We start from the raw sequence: 21,688 nt of genomic DNA, 5'->3' as shown, positions 1-21,688 counted from the left end.
GTAGGGCTGGCTCTGCAGGGAGTCACTGTGCTAGCGCCCCCGCCCCCAATCCCCCAAGTCCTAGGGCCCCAAGGATGAAAGGACCCATTTCTGGAAACATTCCCATCTCTCAGCTCGCAGGGTTCCGTTCTTCTTGGCTTCTTATTCCACCCACAGCCTTTTTTGACCTCTCTTTGACAACTCCTCTTCCTCTCTCTATATATCTCCAAATGGAGTTTTTCAGACCTTGATCTGGATTCCTTTTTTTTTTTTTTTTTTTTTGAGATGGAGTCTTGCTCTGTCACCCAGGCTGGAGTGCAGTGCATGATCTCAGCTCACTGCAACCTCCACCTCCCAGGTTAAAGCAATTATCCTGCCTCAGCCTCCTGAGTAGCTGGGATTACAGGCATGAGCCACCACACGTGGCTAATTTGTTTTTGTATGTTTAGTAGAGACGGGCTTTCGCCGTGTTTGCCAGGCTGGTCTCAAACTCCAATCCTAGACTCTTTTCCCTTCTTACTCCACACCTTCCTGCTAGATTTCATCTGTTTCCATGGTTTAAAACCCGTTCTTTTGCAGATGGGGTCACATTGTAGTAAGTCTCAGCTCACCTTTCTGAGATCCAACTGCTGGGACCTTTCACAAGCAACTCAAACTTGTTGTCTTCAAAATGGAACTACTGATTTTCCTCTAAAAACCTGTTTCCTCCCACCCTCACCTCCATTCCCTCTGCCTTGTGGATGGCACCTCCATCCACTCAGTTGTTCCAGGCCCCAAGGGAAGTCCTCCTTGCTCTACCCTTTTCTGCACACAGACAGCCCATCTGGCGGCAAGTCCTCTCAGCTCTGCCTCCAAAATGCAGCTAGAACTGGCTTACTCCTCTCCACCCCATTGCTACCCCCACAGCCACTCTCTTCTCTTGCCTTCTGTGAGTCATCGCAGTTATCTATTAAAGGAAATTGAATAGTGTCACTCCCGACACTGTTGATACTAGTCAGTCAACAGACACTTTCTAAAAACCGAGTTACAGGCACTGGGAAAACAGCAGTAAATTCCTTCGTGAAGCTTGTATTCCAGCGTGGAAGAGAGATGATAAGCATGGAACTACGCGCAGCAGGGAATTCAGGTCCAGAGCAGGACTACGAAGAAGACAATATAGCCAGGCACGATGGCTCACGCCTGTAATCCCACTGCTTTGGGAGACCGAGGTGGGAGGATCATTTGAGCGCAGGAGTTCAAAACCAGCCTGGGCAACATGGCAAGACCACAACTCTACTAAAAATAAAAAATAAGTAACCAGGGGCCAGACACGGTGGCTCATGCCTGTAATCCCAGCACTTTGGGAGGTCAAGATGGATCACTTAAGGTCAGGAGTTCGAGACCAGCCTGGCCAACATGGTGAAACCCTGTCTCTACTAAAAATACAAAAAATTAGCTGGGTGTAGTGGTGCATGCCTGTAGTCCCAGCTACTTGGGAGGCTGAGGCAGGAGACTCGATTGAACTCGGGAGGTGGAGGTTGCAGTGAGCAGAGATTGCACCACTGCACTCCAGGCTAGGTGACAGAGTGAGACTCCATCTCAAAAAAAAAAAATTAACCAGGTTTGTTGGTGCGTGCCTGCAGTCCCAGCTACTCACAGGCTGATGCGGGAGGATTGCTTGAGCCCAGGAGGTCAAGCCTGCAGTGAGCCATGATTGCGGCACTGCACTCCAGACTGGGTGACAGAGTGAGACCCTGTCTCAAAAAAAGAAGACAACATAGAGAAACAAGAACTCCATGGTGACAGGTGGTGGAGGCCTTGCCGATCTGCTCACTCATCACCCATTCCAACCTCTGACCAACATGTAAAGGTGGGAAAACTAAAACCACACTTCCCAGATTCCTCTTGGTTAGGGTTCTGGGCACAATTTGCATCCCACTGATCAGATATAGCACCATAAGATCTTGATGTGGAGCTGCATAAAGTGGGGAAAGGAAGGCAGGGCACAAGCACCGTCTGTCCTGCCAGCCCTAACCCTGACAGAGGCCACGCAGTGCCAGAGCCCATGGCTGTAGTGGCCGCTTCCTCTTGCACCAGAAGCAGCAGCAGCCAGTGGGTCCCATTCTTCAGTGTGGTCTGGGAAGTCCTCTCTGGAACTCCAGCCACTCCCAAGGCTAGAAGTTAAGTTTTCTACACACCCTTCCATCCCCTCCCTCCTTGGGCTCATGTCTGACCTTGAATCTGGACAGGGGCTCCGTCAAAGGCTGAGAGCAGCCACAGTTGAGGGAATGAGGACAGGACACCAAGTGCAAAGAGGGGCTGGGAGAAGGACTCACCTCATAGACGGGGGCATCGGGTCCTTCAAACTGGAGGCCTGGAGGACACAGGGAAAAGGAAAGAAAACTGCTCATGAAAGACATCGCAGCTCCCCGCTGCTCTCGCCAACCTCATGGACTCCTGCACATCCTTGAGAGCTCCTTCAAGTGTCACCTCCCGCCCAGAGTGTTTGCTGACACGTGCGCCTCTCCCCAGGGCTCTGTTAAGTGGTGTTTCGTGGTCTTTCTCAAACCCCAACGGTTCTAAAACCTCTGATGCCCGTCCTCAGTTTTGGAGGCTGTGAATTAATTCAGTTCCTTCAGGGAATCTCTGTCACTGAAGGGGAGGAAGCAATGGATGAATAATGAATCATCTTGTATAAGGCACCTGGAGTAGCCAAACCCATAGAGACAGAAAGCAGAACGGTGGTTGCCAGGGGCCAGGGAGAGGGACAGTGGGGAATTCAGTTGGATGGGTACAGAGTTTCAGTTGGGAATGATGGAAAAGTTCTGGTGGTGACTGATGGTTGCACAACAACATGAATATACTTCATGTCACTGAAGTATACACTTTAAAATGGTTAAAATAGTTAATTTTGGCTGGGCGCGGTGGCTCAAGCCTGTAATCTCAGTGCTTTGGGAGGCCGAGGCGGGCGGATCACGAGGTCAGGAGATCGAGATCATCCTGGCTAACACGGTGAAACCTCGTCTCTACTAAAAACACACAAAAAAAAATTGGCCGGGCATGGTGGCGGGTGCCTGTAGTCCCGGCTACTCAGGAGGCTGAGCGGGAGAATGGCGTGAACCCGGGAGGCGGAGCTTGCAGTGAGCCGAGATCTCGACACTGCACTCCAGCCTGGGCGACAGAGCAAGACTGCGTCTCAAAAAACAAAAACAAAAACAAAAAAAAGTTGTTGATTTTATGTTTAAATATTATATATTATAAATAATAATATATATGTTTTTATATAACATTAATATAATATATATGTTTCTATATTTTATATATATACATTTTTTTTTGAGATGGGGTCTCACTCTGTCGCTCAGGCTGGAGTGCAGTGGCGCAATCTCAACTCTCTGTAACCTCTACCTCCCAAGTTCAAGTGATTCTCCTGCCTCAGCCTCCCGAGTAGCTGGGACTACAGGTGTGAGCCACCACATTCGACAAATTTTCGATTTTTAGTGGAGATGGGGTTTCACCATGTTGGTCAGGCTGGTTTCAAACTCCTGACCTCAAATGATCCAACAGCCTCAGCCTCCCAAAGTGCTGGGATTACAGGTGTGAGCCACTGCACCAGTCCTTTTTTTTTTTTTTTTTTTTTTTGAGACTGAATCTCACTCTGTCATCCAGGCTGGAGTGCAGTGGTGTGATCTCAGCTCACTGCAAACTCCGCCTCCCAGGATCAAGCAATTCTCCTCACGAGTACTGGGACCACAGGCATGTACCACCATGCCTGGCTAATTTTTGTATTTTTAGTAGAGACAAGGTTTCACTATGTTGGCCAGGCTGGTTTCAAACTCCTGACCTCAAGTGATCCATCCGCCTCAGCCCCCAAAGTGGTGGGATTACAGGCAAGAGCCACTGCACCCAGCCCATTATATATATTTTATCACAATAAGAAATGAATCATCCAAAATGAAAAACAGTTTTTAAGATGGCTATTCAAGAACACTAGTGCTTGACCCCAAATGCATTTACTTTAGAATCTATCTCTGTTCTCATAGTAGGACTAATTCAAATTTGAATTCAAGTACATCCTCTCTATGTGGCCTTTGATAACTTACTAAACTCTCATCTCTGCTTCCCTGTCCCCTTTGTCCCCTGTCTGGGACCTTGCCCTTCCTTCTGTGTGGGACATGCCATCTGTTGATGTCCTGCATCCCCCTCTGTCTCAGGCAGTCATTCTCATCTCACCTGTTTGAGATGTGGTTTGTGAAATTCAGGTATCTGTCATGCTCCTCAGTGCTGGACCTGGAGAGAGCTCGGCTGGGTCCATGAGATATGTCAGATCCCCAGGTGTCACCACACCGAGACCTTACTTGGAGGTCTTTTCTGGGGCTTGCAGGTTTCGGGGGGCTGTTTGCCTCCAGAAGCCATGAGCCCACAAGCAGAAGAAGACTTCACTGGACAGACCCACAGAATCCAACATCTCTGCACTGGGAGGGGACATCTGTGCCTGCAGGCTCATCCTTCTGGTCCCTCTGATAATATTCAACTTTATTCTGATGAGGAATGTGATGCTGAACTAGAGGGGTGTGTAAAAATCCATCATGGAGGGCAGTTTTAACCAACATAAATATTCTTTTCACAATGCACTCCCGGCCAGGCTCAGTGGCTCATGCCTGTAATCCTAGCACTTTGGGAGGCCAACGCAGGTGGATCACCTGAGGTCAGGAGTTCGAGACCAGTTTGGCCAACATGGTGAAACCCCATCTCTACTAAAAATACAAAAATTAGCCAGGTGTGGTGGGCACTTGTAATCCCAACTACTTGGGAGGCTGAGGCAGGAGAATGGCTTGAACCCAGGAGGAGGAGGTTGCAGTGAGCCGAGATCATGCCATTGCACTCTAACCTGGGTGACAGCAAGACTCCGTCCCCAAAAAAAAAAAAGCACTTTTTACAGAGTGGCTTATGTTTTGCCTGTTCCCATGATGATGGAGGACATTGAAAAGCCAATTATGTCCTAAGATTCTTTGAGGCACACAGATTTCTGTCCTCTCCTGTGTTATCTTGGAGCCCCAGGAGGTCATGGCTACTAAAGGAGATTCCCAGTTGTGGATACAATAAGGCTAACATGAAATGAAATCACATCAAGCCAGGCGCGGTGGCTCATGCCTGTAGTCCCAGCACTTTGGGAGGCCGAGGTGAGGAGATCACTTGAGGTCAGGAATTCGAGACTAGCCTGGCCAACATGGTGAAAACCCGTCTCTACTAAAAATACAAAAAATTAGCCAGGCATGGTGGCAGATGCCTGTCATCTCAGCTACTTGGGAGGCTGAGGCAGGAGGATCATTTGAACCCGGGAGGTGGAGGTTGCAGTGACCCGAGATCATGCTACTGCACTCTAGCCTGAGAGATGGAGCAAGACTCCGTCGCAATAAAAAAAAAAAAAATCACATCAAGCTTCTTGCCTTGTGCTGAGTACACAGCAGGTACCAATGAATGTCTGCTCCATACTTTTATTTATTTATTTTTTATCTATTTTTGAGACAGGATCTCACTTTGTCACCCAGGCTGAAGTGCAGTGGCACAATCTCTGCTCACTGCAGCCTCGGCCTCCCAGGTTCAAGCAACCCTTCTGCTTCAACCCCACAAGTAGTTGGGACTACAGTTGCCCACCGCCACATCCAGCTAATTTTTCTATTTTTTGTAGAGACAGGGTTTTGCCATATTGCCCAGGCTGGTCTCAAACTCCTGAGCTCAAGCAGTCCACCCACCTCAGCCTCCCAAAGTGCTGGGATTATAGGCAGGCGTGAGCACAGCACCCGGCCCCTTTTATGTTGTTGTTTTTTTAAGAGACAGCGGGGTCTCACTCTGTCACCCAGGCTGGAGTGTATTGGCAAGATGATAGCTCACTGCAGTCTTGAACTCCTGCTTTGGACTCCCAAAGTGCTGGAATTACAGGCATGAGCCACTGCACCCGACCTCTCCCTCCTTTTGCCTTAGAAGAGTGAGAATGTTGTCTGGGGTCTCTTGGTATGTGGATGTACTTACCTGGGATGGGAACCGTGTGCAGGGGCATCACCTCCACTCCGTGGACTGGGTACCCAAAGGGGAGGTTGGGCTGGACCAGCAGGGGCAGTGGGCGGGGCAGCCCTTCTCTGCAGGAAGGAGAACAGAAACGTCAGCAGCTGCCCTGATGCTGGTCCCTGGTTCGTTCTCAAAGTGGTGCCTGTGCACAGAGCCTTGCCCTGACAATATGGAGAAATCAAAATTGGGTTGTCCCTGTCTCCCTCCATTCTCGTCACCCAGGCTGGAGTGCAATAGTGCGATCTCGGCTCACTGCAAGCTCCGCCTCCCGGGCTCAAGCGATTCTCCTGCCTCAGCCTACCTAGTAGCTGGGATTATAGGAGTGCGCCTCCACGCCCGGCTAATTTTGTTGTATTTTTAGTAGAGACAGGGTTTCACCATGTTAGCTAGGCTGGTCTTGAACTCCTGACCTCAAGTGATCCACCTGCCTTGGCCTCCCAAAGTGCTGGGATTACAGGCGTGAGCCACCGCACCTGGCTGCATTTTTGTTTTTGAGACAGGGTTTCACTTTGTCACCCTGGCTGGAGTACAGTGGCACAATCACGGCTCGCAGCAGTCTTGACCTCCCTGGCTCAGGCAGTCCTCCCATCTCAGCCTTTTCATAGCTGGGACTACAGGTACATGCCACCAAGCCCAGCTAATTTTTAAAATTTTTTTGTAGAGATAGGGTCTCACTATGTTGCCCAGGCTGGTCTCCAACCGCTGGGCTCAAGCAATCCTCCTGCCTCAGCTGTCAGAGAAGCCAGGACTATAGGAGAGAGCCACCATGCCTGGCTAACAAAGCATATTTTTTTTAAAAAAAACCATGACCAGCATAGAAGAAGGAAATTATCAGACGGTAGGGGCCCACCCAGCTGCAGCAGCTAAACACCAAAGTCACATCTGAACTTCGTGGGAACCAGGATAAAAGCGATTGACAATCATCACATGGTCCTTAATATCCAAAGGAAGAAGTAGACCAATTCCTGAAGGGAGGTGGAACTTCTCCTACCGCTGAAATAATAAATAAACTAAATCACAAGAAAGTGTATATGGGAGTAATTGTTGTCACAATATTTTTAGAGGAAACAGAGTAACTATTTTTATGGTTTTTTTGGTTGTTGATAACGATTTTTTTTTTTTTTTTGTGACAGAGTCTCGCTAGGTTGCCAGGCTGGAGTTCAGTGGTGCGATCTCAGCTCACTGCAACCTCTGCCTCCTGGGTTCAAGTGATTCTCCTGCCTCAGCCTCCTTAGTAGCTGGGACTACAAGCACACACCACCATGCCCGGCTAATTTTTGTATTTTTAGTAGAGACGGGGTTTCACCATGTTGGCCAGGATGGTCTTGATCTCTTGATCTTATGATCCGCATGCCTTGGCCTCCCAAAGTGCTGGGATTACAAATGTTAGCCACCACACCCGGCCAATAACAATCTTTAGTCAAAAGCAAGCACATAGCACCATCCAGCAAGATTAGCTTTTTTTTTTTTTTTTTTTTTTTTTTTTTTTTTTTTTTTGAGACGGAGTCTCGCTCTGTCGCCCAGGCTGGAGTGCAGTGGCGGGATCTCGGCTCACTGCAAGCTCCGCCTCCCGGGTTCACGCCATTCTCCTGCCTCAGCCTCCCAAGTAGCTGGGACTACAGGCGCCCGCCACTACGCCCGGCTAATTTTTTGTATTTTTAGTAGAGACGGGGTTTCACCGTTTTAGCCGGGATGGTCTCGATCTCCTGACCTCGTGATCCGCCCGCCTCGGCCTCCCAAAGTGCTGGGATTACAGGCGTGAGCCACCGCGCCCGGCCTAAGATTAGCTTTTTGAGGAACTACGGTACAATGGTTGAAATGTTAGCCTTCGGGACCCAGTTTAAGCAGGAGATCATTTAATTACCTTGAAAAAAAAGATTAGATCATCATAGTGAATACTTACGGTAATATGAAAAAGGCAAAATTTTTATTTTTTATTATTATTTTTTTAATTGATCATTCTTGGGTGTTTCTCGCAGAGGGGGATTTGGCAGGTTCACAGGACAATAGTGGAGGGAAGGTCAGCGGATAAACAAGTGAACAAAGGTCTCTGGTTTTCCTAGGCAGAGGACCCTGCGGCCTTCCGCAGTGTTTGTGTCCCTGGGTACTTGAGATTAGGGAGTGGTGATGACTCTTAACGAGCATGCTGCCGTCAAGCATCTGTTTAACAAAGCACATCTTGCACCGCCCTTAATCCATTTAACCCTGAGTGGACACAGCACATGTTTCAGAGAGCACAGGGTTGGGGGTAAGGTCACAGATCAACAGGATCCCAAGGCAGAAGAATTTTTCTTAGTACAGAACAAAATGAAAAGTCTCCCACGTCTACCTCTTTCTACACAGACACGGCAACCATCCGATTTCTCAATCTTTTCCCCACCCTTCCCCGCTTTCTATTCCACAAAACCGCCATTGTCATCATGGCCCGTTCTCAATGAGCTGTTGGGTACACCTCCCAGACGGGGTGGTGGCCAGGCAGAGGGGCTCCTCACTTCCCAGTAGGGGTGGCCAGGCAGAGGCGCCCCTCACCTCCCGGACGGGGCTGCTGGCCAGGCGGGGGGGGCTGACCCCCCCCACCTCCCTCCCAGACGGGGCGGCTGGCCGGGCGGGGGGCTGACCCCCCCACCTCCCTCCCGGACGGGGCGGCTGGCCGGGCGGGGGGCTGACCCCCCCACCTCCCTCCCGGACGGGGCGGCTGGCCGGACAGAGGGGCTCCTCACTTCCCAGTAGGGGCGGCCGGGCAGAGGCGCCCCTCACCTCCTGGACGGGGCGGCTGGCCAGGTGGGGGGCTGACCCCCCCCGACCTCCAAAATTTTTAAATGGTAAAGAACATAAACAGGTAATTAACGGAAGAGGAAATACAAATGGCAATGAACATATGGAACATACTCAGCTTCAATCAGGGAAATGTGAATTAAAAAAAACATGGAATACCTTTTTCATTAAAGTTTGAAAATGTGATGATAGCAAACGTTAGTTAGGTGTATGTAAGGTGCAACACTTACCCACTCTTCATGAAAGTGTGAGTTCACACAAGCCCTCTTGAGGGAAATTTGGCAATATCTATCAAAAATAAAAAAGGCACACCCTGGGATCTAGCAAGTAAGATGCTAGGTGAAAGGAGAAATGCTTGCATGTGTAAGCAATAAGACAAGCACAAGAATGTTCATTTCAGCATTGTTTGAAATGAACATCCTTATACGTGTATTTTTCTTTTTTCTGAGACGAAGTCTCACTCACTCTGTCACCCAGGCAAGATGCAGTGGTGTGATCTCGGCTCACTGCAAACTCCACCTCCCGGGTTCAAGCGATTTTCCTGCCTCAGCCTCCTGACTAGCTGGGATTACAGGCATACACCACCATGTCCAGCTAATTTTTGTATTTTTTTGTAGAGATGGGGTTTCACCATGTTGGCCAGGCTGGTATCGAACTCCTGGCCTCAAGTGATCCGCCCACCTCAGCCTCCCAAAGTGTTGGGATTACAGGTGTGAGCCACCGCGCCTGGCCCTTATACATGTCTTAATGAAAAAGGAAATAATGTAAATATAATGTAATATTATTGTAAATAATGTAAATGTAAACATGAAGGTTTTTCAACAATCTAAATACCTTTCAATAGGGAAGTGGCTTAGTAAAATGCAGCATATTCATATTCATAGCTATATTGCAATTCAGAGGGATGAACTAGATATACACATAGCTCTTAAAAACATTTCATACTCCTTTCCAGTTCTGGCCCCAGACCCTGCAGCCACCGAGATGTTGATGCCTAAGAAGAACGGGAATGCATTTATCAACTCCTTTTTTTTTTTTTTTGAGACAAGGTCTCGCTCTGTCGCCAGACTGGAATTCAGTGGCACGATCTCGGCTTATTGCAACCTCCACCGCCCAGGTTCAGACGATTCTCCTGCCTCAGCCTCCCAAGTAGCTGGGACTACAGGCACATGCCACCACGCCCAGCTAATTTTTGTATTTTTAATAGAGACGGGGTTTCTCCATGTTGGCCAGGATGGTCTTGATCTCTTGACCTCGTGATCCGCCTGCCTCGGCCTCCCAAAGTGCCGGGATTACAGGTGTGAGCTACCGCACCCAGCCCTATGAACTCCTTTTAAAGGAGGGAGTCACGGTGGCCAAGAAGGATGTCCACATGCCTAAGCACCTGGAGCTGGCAGACAAGAAGGTGCCCGACCTTCATGTCATGAAGGTTGTGCAGTCTCTCAAGTCCGGAGGCTTTGTGCAGGAACGGTTTGCCTGGAGACATTTCTACGCGTACCTTACCAACAAGGGTATCCAGTATCTCCATGATGACCTCCATCTGCCCCCAGAGATTGTGCTTGCCACCTTATGCCACAGCTGTCCAGAGACTGGCAGGTCTCTGCCTGAAGGTCTGGAGGGTGAGCCACCTGCAAGACCCACAAGTGGGGAAGCCCACAGCCTGCTGCCAACAAGAATGCCGAGGCTGAGGCTGTGTCAACAACCAAATTCCAGTAAGAGGCAGATTTGGTTGTGGATGTGGTCAGCCACCTCAGTAAAATTGGAGAGGACTTTTGTTTTGTTTTTATTTTTTTTTCGAGACAGGATCTCACTCTGTCGCCCAGGCTGGAGTGCAGCGGCACGATCTTAGCTCACTGCCACTGCCACCTCCCAGGTTCAAGTGATTGTCCTGCCTCAGCCTCCTGGGTAGCTGGGATTACAGGCGCCCACCATCACGCTCGACTAATTTTTGTATTTTTAGTAGAGACAGGGTTTCACCATGTTGGCCAGGCTGGGCTTCTGACCTCAGGTGATCCACCTGCCTCAGCCTCCCAAAGTGCTAGGATTACTGGCATGAGCCACCACACCCACCCAGAGGATTATTTTGCATTGAATAAACTTATAATCTGAAATATATATATATATATATAATTGAATAAAAAAACAAATTTCAGAGTGATTTGTTTTTATGGTACCAAGTACACTAAAATACACAAAAAACCAACAGTATATGTTTATATGGATATATATACACACACACACACACATATATATATAACATACATGTATATAACAGTATTTAAAAATAGTGTGGAATAATACATACCAAATTCATAATGGCAGACTCCTTAGCTAGGTTTACAAGGGAACCTATCATTTAAGAAAGGGACGAGAATAGCAGTGGTAGTGGTCAGGGGAGTGGGTTAAAATGGACTTTTTCTGGCCAGGCATGGTGGCTCACGCCTGTATTCCCAGCACTTTGGGAGGCTGAGACAGCTGGATTGCTTGAGCTCAGGAGTTTGAGACAAGCCTGGGCAACATGGCAAAACCCCATATCTACAAAAAAACACAAAAATTAGCCAGGCATGGTAGCATGCACCTGTAGTCCCAGCTATTTGGGAGGCTGAGGTGGGAGGATCCCTTGAGCCCAGAAAGTGGAGGTTGCAGTGGGTAGAGATTGCACCACTGCACTCCAGCCTGGGCAGCAGAGCCAGACCTTGTCTCAAAAAAAAAAAAAAGAAAGAAAGAAAAGAAAAGAATAAAGAAAAAGAAAACAAGAAAAGAAGAGGAAAAAAATGAACTTTTTCTTAGAGGAGCATTACACATGCTGCTTTTTAATGGAAGTATAATGTAGCACTAACACACAGGATCAGATTGACCAATCAGCCTCAACTGAGTCAGAGATCTCATCCAGTATCAAGCTCTATTTGTAATTTCAAGGATACAGACAAGAGGCACAAACATCCTCTTAATTAGTCATCCTATATGGATCCCCGGGTCATTCCTTCCACATCAGTCATGCATTCTCCGGAGGATAACAGATGTGGTCTCTAAATGCAATTTTGCCAGATTACCTCATCCAACATGTAACGAAGAATGTAAATTAAGAAACATCTCCTGTATATACTCCAGAGATTTATATAGCTTATGTGACATTGGCCAGGGAGCAAATGATTCTGGGTTATTTATCATATGTAATTTCATTAGCTGAAGACATCCTGCAAGAGCAGTGCCAACCTTCAGGGAATCCCTAATCTAAGGAAGGAGAGAGAGCCCAATCTTAGAAGTACCAGTCTAAGGGAGGAGACATAGCCCTTGTAATCATGAACCTTCCAGTCTGATGGAGGACAGTTTAGCTCTCATAGAGGCCTTGGACTGATGGGAAAACTACATTCCCACCTTAAGGAGCCCTCAATCAGACAGGAATGTTTAGACACATGGCTTAGCTAGAATTTGAGGATCCCTATGGAGTAGTCAGCAATGGAAATTAAGAAAAGACAGTGTTGGGCCAGGCATGGTGGCTCACGCCTGTAATCCCAGCACTTTGGGAGGCCAAGGTGGGTGGATCACTTGAGGCTAGGAGTTCAAAACCAGCCTCGGCAACATGGGGAAACCCCATCTCCATAAAAAATACAAAAATTAACAGGGAGTGGTGGCGTGCACCTTTAATCCCAACTACTCGGGTGGCTAAGCCAGAAGAATTGCTTGAGCCTGGGAGGTGGAGGTTGCAGTTAGCTGAGATCGTGCCATTGCGCTCCAGCCTGGGCAACAAGAACAAAACTCCATCTTGAAAAAAAAGAAGAAGAAGAAGTGCGGCAATGGATTCATGCTCATGGAATTCACTGGTCTTACCATGTTCCCCATCATCCTGAAGCAGCTGGATTGATAGAACGGTGGAATGGCCTTTTGAAGTCACAATTATAATGCCAACTAGGTGACAATACTTTGCAGGGCTGAGGCAAAGTTCTCCAGAAGGCCATGTATGCTCTGAATCAGTGTCCAATATATGGTACTGATTCTCCCATGGCCAGGATTCACGGGTCCAGGAATCAAAGAGGGGAAGTAGCACTACTCACCATCACCCCTAGTGATCCACTAGCAAAATTTTTGCTTCCTGTTCCCGCAACATTATGTTCTGCTGGCCTAGAGGTCTTAGTTCCAGAGGGAGGAACGCTGCCACCAGTGTACACAACAACAATTCCATTAAAGTGGAAGTTAATATTGCCACCTGGACACTTTGGACTCCTCCTACCTTTATGTCAACAGGCTAAGAAGGAAGTTACTGTGTTAGCTGGGGTGATTGACCCGGGCTATCAAGATAAAATCAGTCTACTACTCCACAATGGAGGTAAGGAAGAGTGCACATGGAATACAGGAGATCCATTAGGGTGTCTCTTAGTATTACCATGCCCTGTGATTAAGGTCAATGGGAAACTACAATAGCCCAATCCAGGCAGGGCTACAAATGACCCAGACCCTTCAGGAATGAAGGTTTGGGTCACTCCACCAGGAAAAAAAACATTACCTGCTGAGGTGCTTGCTGAAGGCAAGGGGAATACAGAATGGGTAGTAAAAGAAGATAATCAATACCAGCTACGACCATGTGACCAGCTGCAGAAATGAGGACTGTAATTGTCATGAGTATTTCCTCTTTCTTTTGTTAAAAACATGTTTGTGCATATACACACTTGTACTAAGAAAATATCTTCATTTTATTTCCTTTTCCTTTATCATGTGACGTAAGATTTATTGACTTCATATCAGCATCTAAGTATTGTTAACTTTATGTAATAGTATTTGGGTTGGGGATTGGTGCGTTTCTGGTCGTACAAAAGATAGTTGTATTATGTTAGGCATAATTATAACCTTATTATTGTCTTTATTTGAAGATTATGTATGATCTCAGGAGATGTGTATGGGTTCAAGTTGACAAGGGGTGGACTTGTGCTGGTTAATACTAAATGTCAATTCGATTGGATTGAAGGATGCAATATTGATCCAGGGTGTGTCTGTGAGGGTGTTGCCAAAGGAGACTGATATTTGAGTCAGTGGGCTGGGGAAGGCAGACCCACCCTTAATTGGGTGGGCACCATCTAATCAGACGCCATCGAATATAAAGCAGACAGAAAAACGTGAAGCAATGAGATGAGCCTAGCCTCCCAGCCTACATCTTTCTCCAGTGCTGGGTGCTTCCTGCCCTCGAACATTGGACTCCAGCTTCTTCAGTTTTGGAACTTGGACTGGCTCTCTTTGCTCCTCAGCTTGCAGACAGCCTGTTGTGGGACCTTGTGATCATGTAAGTTAATACTTAATAAATTCTCTCTCTCGCTTTCTCTCTCTCTCCCCCCTGTTAGTTCTGTCCCTCTAAGAAAACCCTGACTAATACATGGGGTTTCACCATGTTGGCTAGGCTGGTCTCAAACTCCTGACCTCAGGTGATCTGCCTGTCTTGGCCTCCCAAAGTGCTGGTATTACAGGCGTGAGCCACCATGCCCAACTGGAGCTAGGTGTTATTAGCATCCTCATTTTACAGAGATTAAGCAGCTTGCCCAAGATCACCTAGCTGGCAGATAGAGGATGCAGGACCTGAATGCAGCCAGTCAGCTTCCCGCGGCAGCACTGTTAACTACCAAGACCAGTTGCTCCTCACATAGCTAGGTGCACCAGGGTTGAAATCCATGCCAGCATCACCTGTGTATTCCACTGGCTGTCCAGCTTTCAACACCTCCTGATGGAGACGGTGCCTCCATCTGTCTTCTGGGGAGCCTTCCACTTGCATGTAATTTGGAGGGTAGTGGCTACTATGGTTTGAATGTGTTCCCCAAATTTCATGTGTTAGAAACTTAATTCCCAAATTCATATGTTGTTTGGAGGTAGGGGCCTTTAGGAAGTAATTAGGATAAGGTCATCAGGTAGGGACCCCATGATGGGACTGGTGGTTTTTGTTATTGTTGTTGTTGTTTTGAGATGGAGTCTCACTCTGTCACCCAGACTGGAGTGAGTGCAGCGGTCTGATCTCAGCTCACTGCAACCTCCACCTCCCAGGTTCAAGTGAGTCTCCTGCCTCAGCCTCCTGAGTAGCTGGGACTACAGGCACTCACCACCACAGCCTGGCTAATTTTTATATTTTTAGTAGAGATGGAGTTTCGCCATGTTGCCCAGGCTGGCCTCGAACTCCTGACCTCAGGTGGTTCACCTGTCTTGGCCTCCCAAAGTGCTGAAATTACAGGCGTGAGCCACCATGCCCAACCAAGGGACTGGTAGTTTTATAAGAAGAGGAAGAGAGACCTCAGCTGATGCATGTGCTCTTGCCCTGTCAATATGTGGTACCCTCCACCATGTTATGATGTAGCAAGAAGCCTTCACCAGATGCCAGCACCGTGCTGTTAGACTTCTCAGCCTCCAGAATCGTAAGCTAAATAAACTTACCTTTTCTTTATAAATTACCCAGTCTGCAGTATTCTGCTATAGTAACAGAAAACGGACTAAGACAGTGGCTAGCTTCAAAAGTCAAACCTGGAGGGGTCTGATGCACCCTTTCCCTTCCTTTTGATTCATGAGTTAGGCTCAGTTAATTGAGCACTAAGGCAGTAACCTGGGGACAGTTCATTGCAGAAGCAACAACAATATGGGGACCAGATGGCCCTGGAGCCTGACCAGTTCTTCAGTGCTCCGTTAGTTCTTACCTGATTTCCTAGCCTGGACATCCTACCACCTATGGATTTGGTAAGGCCCCAGCATCCTTCTAACAAGTTCCCTTTTGATACAAGCCAGGCAGAATCAAGTTCAGCCCTTTTCTTGTTTTTTGTTTTTTTGTTTTTGTTGTTGTTGTTGTTTGTTTGTTTGTTTTTTCTCTTTTCTTTTTTTTGAGATGGAGTCTTGCTCTGTTGCTCAGGTTGGAGGGCAGTGGCACAATCTCAGCTCACTACAACCTCCACCTCCTGGGTTCAAGTGATTCTCCTGCCTCAGCCTCCCAAGTAGCTGGGATTACAAGCGTGCGTCACCATGCCTAGCTAATTTTTGTATTTTTAGTAGAGATGGGGTTTCACCATGTTGGCCAGGCTGGTCTCGAACTCCTGACCTCAAGTGATCCGCCCACCTCAGTCTCCCAAAGTGTTGGGATTACAGGCGTGAGCCACCGCGCCCAGCCAAATTCTGCCTTTTTCAACCAACAACCCTGGTTGATACACCTGAGTGTTGACACCCCTTGTAATTTAAAACAAAGGGATACACTCCTTGCATATAGCACAGGGTAGTATGCTCTCAACATATAAATGAATAAAATAGGGCACCTTGGTGATGACTACAAAATCACCTGCTATGATGGCCTGGGTGCATGGAGGATGTACCACCAGATGTTTCAAACTATCTCCATTCCTTTTGTTTTTTTTGTTTTTGTTTTTGTTTTTGTTTTTGCTTTTGTTGGAGACACAGTTTCAATCTGTTGCCCAAGCTGGAGTGCAGTGGTGTGATCCTGGCTCATTGCAGCTTCAACTTCCTGGGCTCAAGTGATCCTCTCACTTCAGCCTACTGAGTAGCTGGGACTACAGGCATGTACCATCATGCCTGGCTAATTTTAAAAATGTTTTGTAGAGATGGGGGTCTCACTATATTGCCCAAGCTGGTCTCAAACTCCTGGGCTCAAGCTATCCTCCCATCTTGACCTCCCAAAGTGCTAGAATGACAGACATGTGTCACCAATCCCAGCTTTTTGTTGTTGTTGTTGTTGTTATGAAATGTTTTGTACATACAAAGTTTTGTAAATCTTCATTTAAGGATGATTTCCTCGATTCCTTCTTTGTTTCATTCCTAATAGTTCCTCCCAGGGACCCTTGCAAGAGAGAGAATTCCTTCCTGCTTTTTCTCTTAAGATTCACAACCTCAGGACATAGGGAGGGCTTTTGTTCCATCTCAGAACCCAAGGGCCTTCATGACCCGCATTACCTCCTCTGAAAGTGTTCAAATTCAGCCTGTCTCCTCGCTTTCACCGCTGGGAGGTCGCTCTGGCCATAGGCATCCTGAAAGTTGTAACCTCCCTGCTCTTTGTTGGCTTCACATTTGCACTGATTTTTCGGGAACAGCCTGAAACAAGCAAGAGGACTGTAAACATGGATTGGGTGGGTAGGCTGGTGGGTGAGAGGAAACCGGAGTCCTAATCCAGTGTGTAGTTTACCCTGAAAATCTTCTTTCCTACACCCAACTGTTCTGAGATGATGAGACCCTGGAGTCCCCTGCACTGGCCCCTCACAGAGACAAGGGGACAAAGGGAGGGAAGCAGGGACAGAGGAAGGCTGAAGACTTTTCCTCTCTTGAATTGTCCCCTGCACCTAACTTCTTTAAATCTGAGAGCCACGTGACTGTCAGTTGTATCTCACCCCACCATAAAAGGAGGGCAGAGAGACAGAGAAGCAGCATCTTTTCTGCAGTTTTGATAAAAAAAAACTACATGCTCTCGAAAGTTTTAAGGGATTTTGCTGGATGCTATAGAGAACATAGACTGGATCGTACAGACCAAGCCCCATCCTGGCTTGCAGTCACTTGTGCATTCAGCACAGGCTTAGGAAAGCAAGGGAACCATCTGTACAATGGGCACAGTAGGGCATGGTACTTGAGGAGGAGCAAGGAAGATGTGTGCATTAAGGTGAAAGAAAGAACACGCAGTCTCTCACCAGATTCCATCGTAGGAAAAGAGGTTCCTGAGACGTTCCTCAGGCAGAAGCTTCAGCTTCTGGACACCCGGGGCAGGACTTGGGAGTTCTGGCTTGGGGCTGCTGAACACTGCTTGAAGGAACATGCTTCCGAACATAAATCCAACAATGCCAAGTACCAGGATTATGACCAATATCTTGAGGAGCCACAGAAATCTCGAGCTGTTGGGACACAAAAGAACAGATTATGTTAAAATCTTTTTTCTTGATTATGTAATGTATATGAGACTGATAATTTCAGGAAAAATGTAAGCTAAGCACATAGCTTATATTGGTCACTAAAATCGATTTCTGATAAACAGAGGAGGAAAGAATCAAGTTGCAACAAAGGGACTTAGAAAAATTACAAATAAAAGGATGGCAAAAAAATCCAGAAAAAAAAAAAGGTTAGAGGCTGGGCACGGTGGCTCACACCTGTAATCCCAGCATTTTGGGAGGCCGAGGCAGGCGGATCACGCGGTCAAGAAATCAAGACCATCCTGGCCAACATGGTGAAACCCAGCCTCTACTAAAAATACAAAAATTAGCTGGGCATGGTGGCGTGTGCCTGTAGTGCCAGCTACTTGGGAGGCTGAGACAGGAGAATCGCTTGAACCCGGGAGGCGGAGGTTGCAGTGAGCCAAGATCACGCCACTGCACTCCAGCCTGGCGACAGAGCGAGACTCCTCAAAAAAAAAAAAAAAGGTTAGTAATGTTAATGTCAGCATAGCTAAATTCAAGGCAATAAAAAAGAGTATTAAATAGGACAGAAAGACCACTTATAGTGATCAATGCATGATACCAAAACAGATAGCCGTGAACTTTTATCCACTAATAATAGCATTAAAGTATACAAAGTAAAAAATGGCAGGATATGAAAGAAGGATTAGAAATACAAAGATAGTTAGAGATGCTGACATGTCTCACTTGATCAAGTCTCAAAAATATTTTAAAGCAGCAGAACAACAAAATGATATAATTTGTATTCTGTTAAAGAGCTCTTAAAACATTTATAAAAATTGGCCACATATGCCGGGTGTGGTGGCTCATGCCTGTAATCCCAGCACTTCGGGAGGCCAAGGCGGGTGGATCACGAGGTCAGGAGATCGAGACCATCCTGGCTAACATGGTGAAACCCCATCTCTACTAAAAATACAAAAAATTAGTCGGGTGTTGTGGCGGACGCCTGTAGTCCCAGCTACTCGGGAGGCTGAGGCAGGAGAATGGTGTGAACCTGGGAGGCGGAGGTCGCAGTGAGCTGAGATCACGCCACTGCACTCCAGCCTGGGCAAGAGAGAGAGATTCTGTCTCAAAAAAAAAAAAGAAAGAAAATCCTGTTTTGCTTTTATTCACGTGGTTATTATAAATTATATTATATTATATTTATAAATTAATATAGGGCAAAGTTACATCTCTACAAAATTGAGCTATTCTAGTCAAGAATAAAAAGAAGGTATCTCAATCTATTCATATATATTTCCCTAATACAGTGGTAATTTGAGACTCTGTCTCAAAAAAAAAAAAGTTGGCCACGTATTAGGACACAAAGAAAACTGTAATAAAGTAGAAATCGTTCAGATCATACGTTCTGACAATGCAATTCAAATGTAACCTCGCCGGGCATAGTGGCTCATGCCCATAATCTGAGCACTTTGGGAGACCTAGGCAGGAGGATCACTTGAAGCCAGGAGTTCAGGACCGTCCTGGGCAACAAAACAAGACCCTGTATCTACAAAAAATTGAAAAATAGCCAAGCACCGTGGCATGTGCCTATAGTCCTAACTACTGAGGAGGCTAAGTCAGGAGAATCCCTTGAGCCCAGGAGTTCAAGGCTGTAGTGAGCTATGATCGCACTACTGCATTACAGCCTGGGCAACTGAGACCCCATCTCTAAAAACATAATAGGCTGGGCATGGTGTCTCACGCCTGTAATCCCAGCACTTTGGGGGGCCGAGGCAGGCGGATCGCTTGAGCTCAGGAGTTTGAGACCAGCAACATGGTGAATGTCTCTACTGAAAAAAAAAATAGCTGGGCATGGTGGCCCAGGCCTGTGGTCCCAGCTACTTGGGAGGCTGAGGTGGGACGATCACTTGAGCCCGGAGGGCGAAGGATATAGTGAGTCAAAACTGCACCACTGCACTCCAGCCTCGGTGTCAGAGGGAGACTCTGTCTCCAAAAAAAAAACAAAAACGCCCACTGCTATTATCTAACATTGTCATGGAAGTGCTAATCAATGCAGTAAGATTAGCTTATAGAATAAAACATAAATAACGAAAAGGGAAATAAAAAGTATTATTTACAGGTGAAATGATTACATATTCAGAAAACTAAAATGTATGAGGTGAGAAGCTATTAGTAAGATTTTAATAGGGTACCTGGTGACAAAATATAGTAAAAAAATTAATAATAATAATTGTCTAATGACCACTTAGTATGTTCTAGACCCCCTGCCAAGAGCTTTGTGTGCATTATCTCATTTAATCCTCACAACAGCATAACAAGAGAAGTTTTATTTTTTGTTTTTCTTTTGTTGTTGTTTGTTTTGTTTTGTTTGAGACAGAGTCTCGCTTTGTCACCCAGGCTGGAGTGCAGTGGCACAATCTCAGCTCACTGCAACCTCCACCTCCTGGGTTCAAATGATTCTCCTGCCTCAGCCTCCTGAATAGCTGGGATTACAGGCGCCCACCACCACACCCGGCTATTCTTTGTATTTTTAGTGGAGACGGGGTTTCACCATGTTGGCCAGGCTGGTCTCAAATACTGACCTCAGGTGATCTGCCTGCCTCGGCCTCCCAAACTGATGGGATTACACGCATGAGCCACCAAGGCTGGCTGAGAGAAGTTTGATTACTCCACGCAATGATCAGATGAGATAGCTGAAGCTAAATAGGAAAAGTAACCTGCTTTCTCGGTTATGACAGATGCAGAATTCAAAAGCAGACCACACTTTTAACCACTACCCTACAAAGGTTTCTATAAGCCAACAAGTCAGAAAACATAATGAAAGCAGAAATCTGCTTCAAATTAACAACATAACACAAAATGACCCAGGCAGGCAGATACTTAAGAAGAAACATGTGGGACTTATGTGGCAGACTCTTAGGTGGCCCATATGATCTTGATCTCTTGGGCGCTTAGCAAAAGATTCTTGGTTTTTAGCATTTAAGATGTGCCTATGGTTGGTACCAACCGACATTTCCTGAAATCATGCAGTCTTGAGTTATAAATCTTTAAGTCTATTGCCATGCTAGAATCTTATTAATATATAGGAAATTTAGAGAGATTAAGTGCCTAAATGGCCTGCCCAATACTTGTATATTTTTAGTATCACACAGAACTAAAATCCCCGGAACTAGGAACACTCTAGACCTTACATGGTTTATTCCTCCTGTCATTTCAAACATTGAAAGTGGGGCCTATCTGATTATTTGCCTGCTCACTTTATGTTTATATCTACTGCATTTGTACCAATATACATCAGGTTTGTGCAACCACTGATTTTTGTTGGATTTTAATCAGGTCTCACAGTGATCATTTAACATCTTCCTCTAAGTCTCATCTTGTGCTGTTATGGATTTTCATTTTGAAAATCTACACTGTATGGAAGCACATGTCTTTAATATCTCCAGACATTACATTTCATCGAATGCTTAAATTTTAGTGGGTAACTTAACAGGGGCCTCCCTGTTAAGTTCTGAAAAAGAATGGGAGGGAACAATTAAATATTTTTGGTAAAATGTGTTTTTTTCTTGTGCAGAATATGTAGAACATACATTTTAATTTAGTAAATACATTTTAAAAGGAAACAATGCTCTGTTATCACACTGCCTTGGTCTGGTTTGTACGGTTTTGTGCTGCTATAACAGAATACCTGAGACTGGGTAATTTACAGGGAACAGAAGTTTATGTTCTGGAGGCTGGCAAATCCAAGATCCAGGGGCCACATCTGGGGACCTTCTTGCTGCATCATCCCATGGTGGAAGGTGGAAAAACAAGTGAGTGCATGTGAGAGACACAGCAAGAGGGGGCTGAATTTGTCCTTTTATGAGGAATCCACTCCTACTATAACGAACCCACTCCCATGATAATGGCATTAATCCATTCATGAGCGCAGAGCCCTTCCGGCCTCATCACCTCTTATAAGGCCCCATTTCTTAACATTGTCTAATTGGGGATGAAGTTTCCAACACATGAACTCTGAGGGGCACATTCAAACCATA

At 46.4% G+C, this 21,688-nt stretch overlaps 1 protein-coding gene and 1 pseudogene across 5 annotated transcripts in view, besides 2 other annotated features; one reads left to right on the top strand and one right to left on the bottom strand.

The window, feature by feature from the left end:
* The window catches only part of B4GALNT2 (beta-1,4-N-acetyl-galactosaminyltransferase 2 (SID blood group)), a 56,497-nt gene that overhangs the window by 17,943 nt on the left and 16,866 nt on the right, over window positions 1-21,688 (bottom strand). For all 5 annotated transcript variants that reach the window (XM_017024173.2, NM_001159388.2, NM_153446.3 and 2 more), the window contains exons 2-5: window positions 17,451-17,651; window positions 16,726-16,863; window positions 5,992-6,098; window positions 2,295-2,332 (exon numbers count right to left, since the gene is read on the bottom strand). In XM_017024173.2, coding sequence (XP_016879662.1) covers window positions 2,295-2,332; window positions 5,992-6,098; window positions 16,726-16,863; window positions 17,451-17,587 — 420 coding nt within the window. In that variant the 5' untranslated portion in view covers window positions 17,588-17,651. The remainder of the gene's footprint in view (window positions 1-2,294; window positions 2,333-5,991; window positions 6,099-16,725; window positions 16,864-17,450; window positions 17,652-21,688) is intronic.
* Window positions 7,881-8,871: an enhancer, noted in NCBI's record as "NANOG-H3K27ac-H3K4me1 hESC enhancer chr17:47227389-47228379 (GRCh37/hg19 assembly coordinates)". NCBI's record gives its function as "activates a minimal SCP1, AML or CMV promoter by ChIP-STARR-seq in naive H9 embryonic stem cells {active_cell/tissue: H9 hESC(naive)}" and the evidence as "EXISTENCE:reporter gene assay evidence [ECO:0000049][PMID:30033119]".
* Window positions 8,872-9,862: an enhancer, noted in NCBI's record as "H3K27ac-H3K4me1 hESC enhancer chr17:47226398-47227388 (GRCh37/hg19 assembly coordinates)". NCBI's record gives its function as "activates a minimal SCP1, AML or CMV promoter by ChIP-STARR-seq in primed H9 embryonic stem cells {active_cell/tissue: H9 hESC(primed)}" and the evidence as "EXISTENCE:reporter gene assay evidence [ECO:0000049][PMID:30033119]".
* Window positions 10,124-10,582, top strand: RPS10P25 (ribosomal protein S10 pseudogene 25; annotated as a pseudogene).

This window comes from Homo sapiens, chromosome 17, assembly GCF_000001405.40.
Source record: "Homo sapiens chromosome 17, GRCh38.p14 Primary Assembly".
Taxonomy (NCBI): Eukaryota; Metazoa; Chordata; class Mammalia; order Primates; family Hominidae; genus Homo; species Homo sapiens.
The sequence above is the reverse complement of the archived record's forward strand: the minus strand, read 5'-3'. Positions and strand labels throughout refer to the sequence as shown.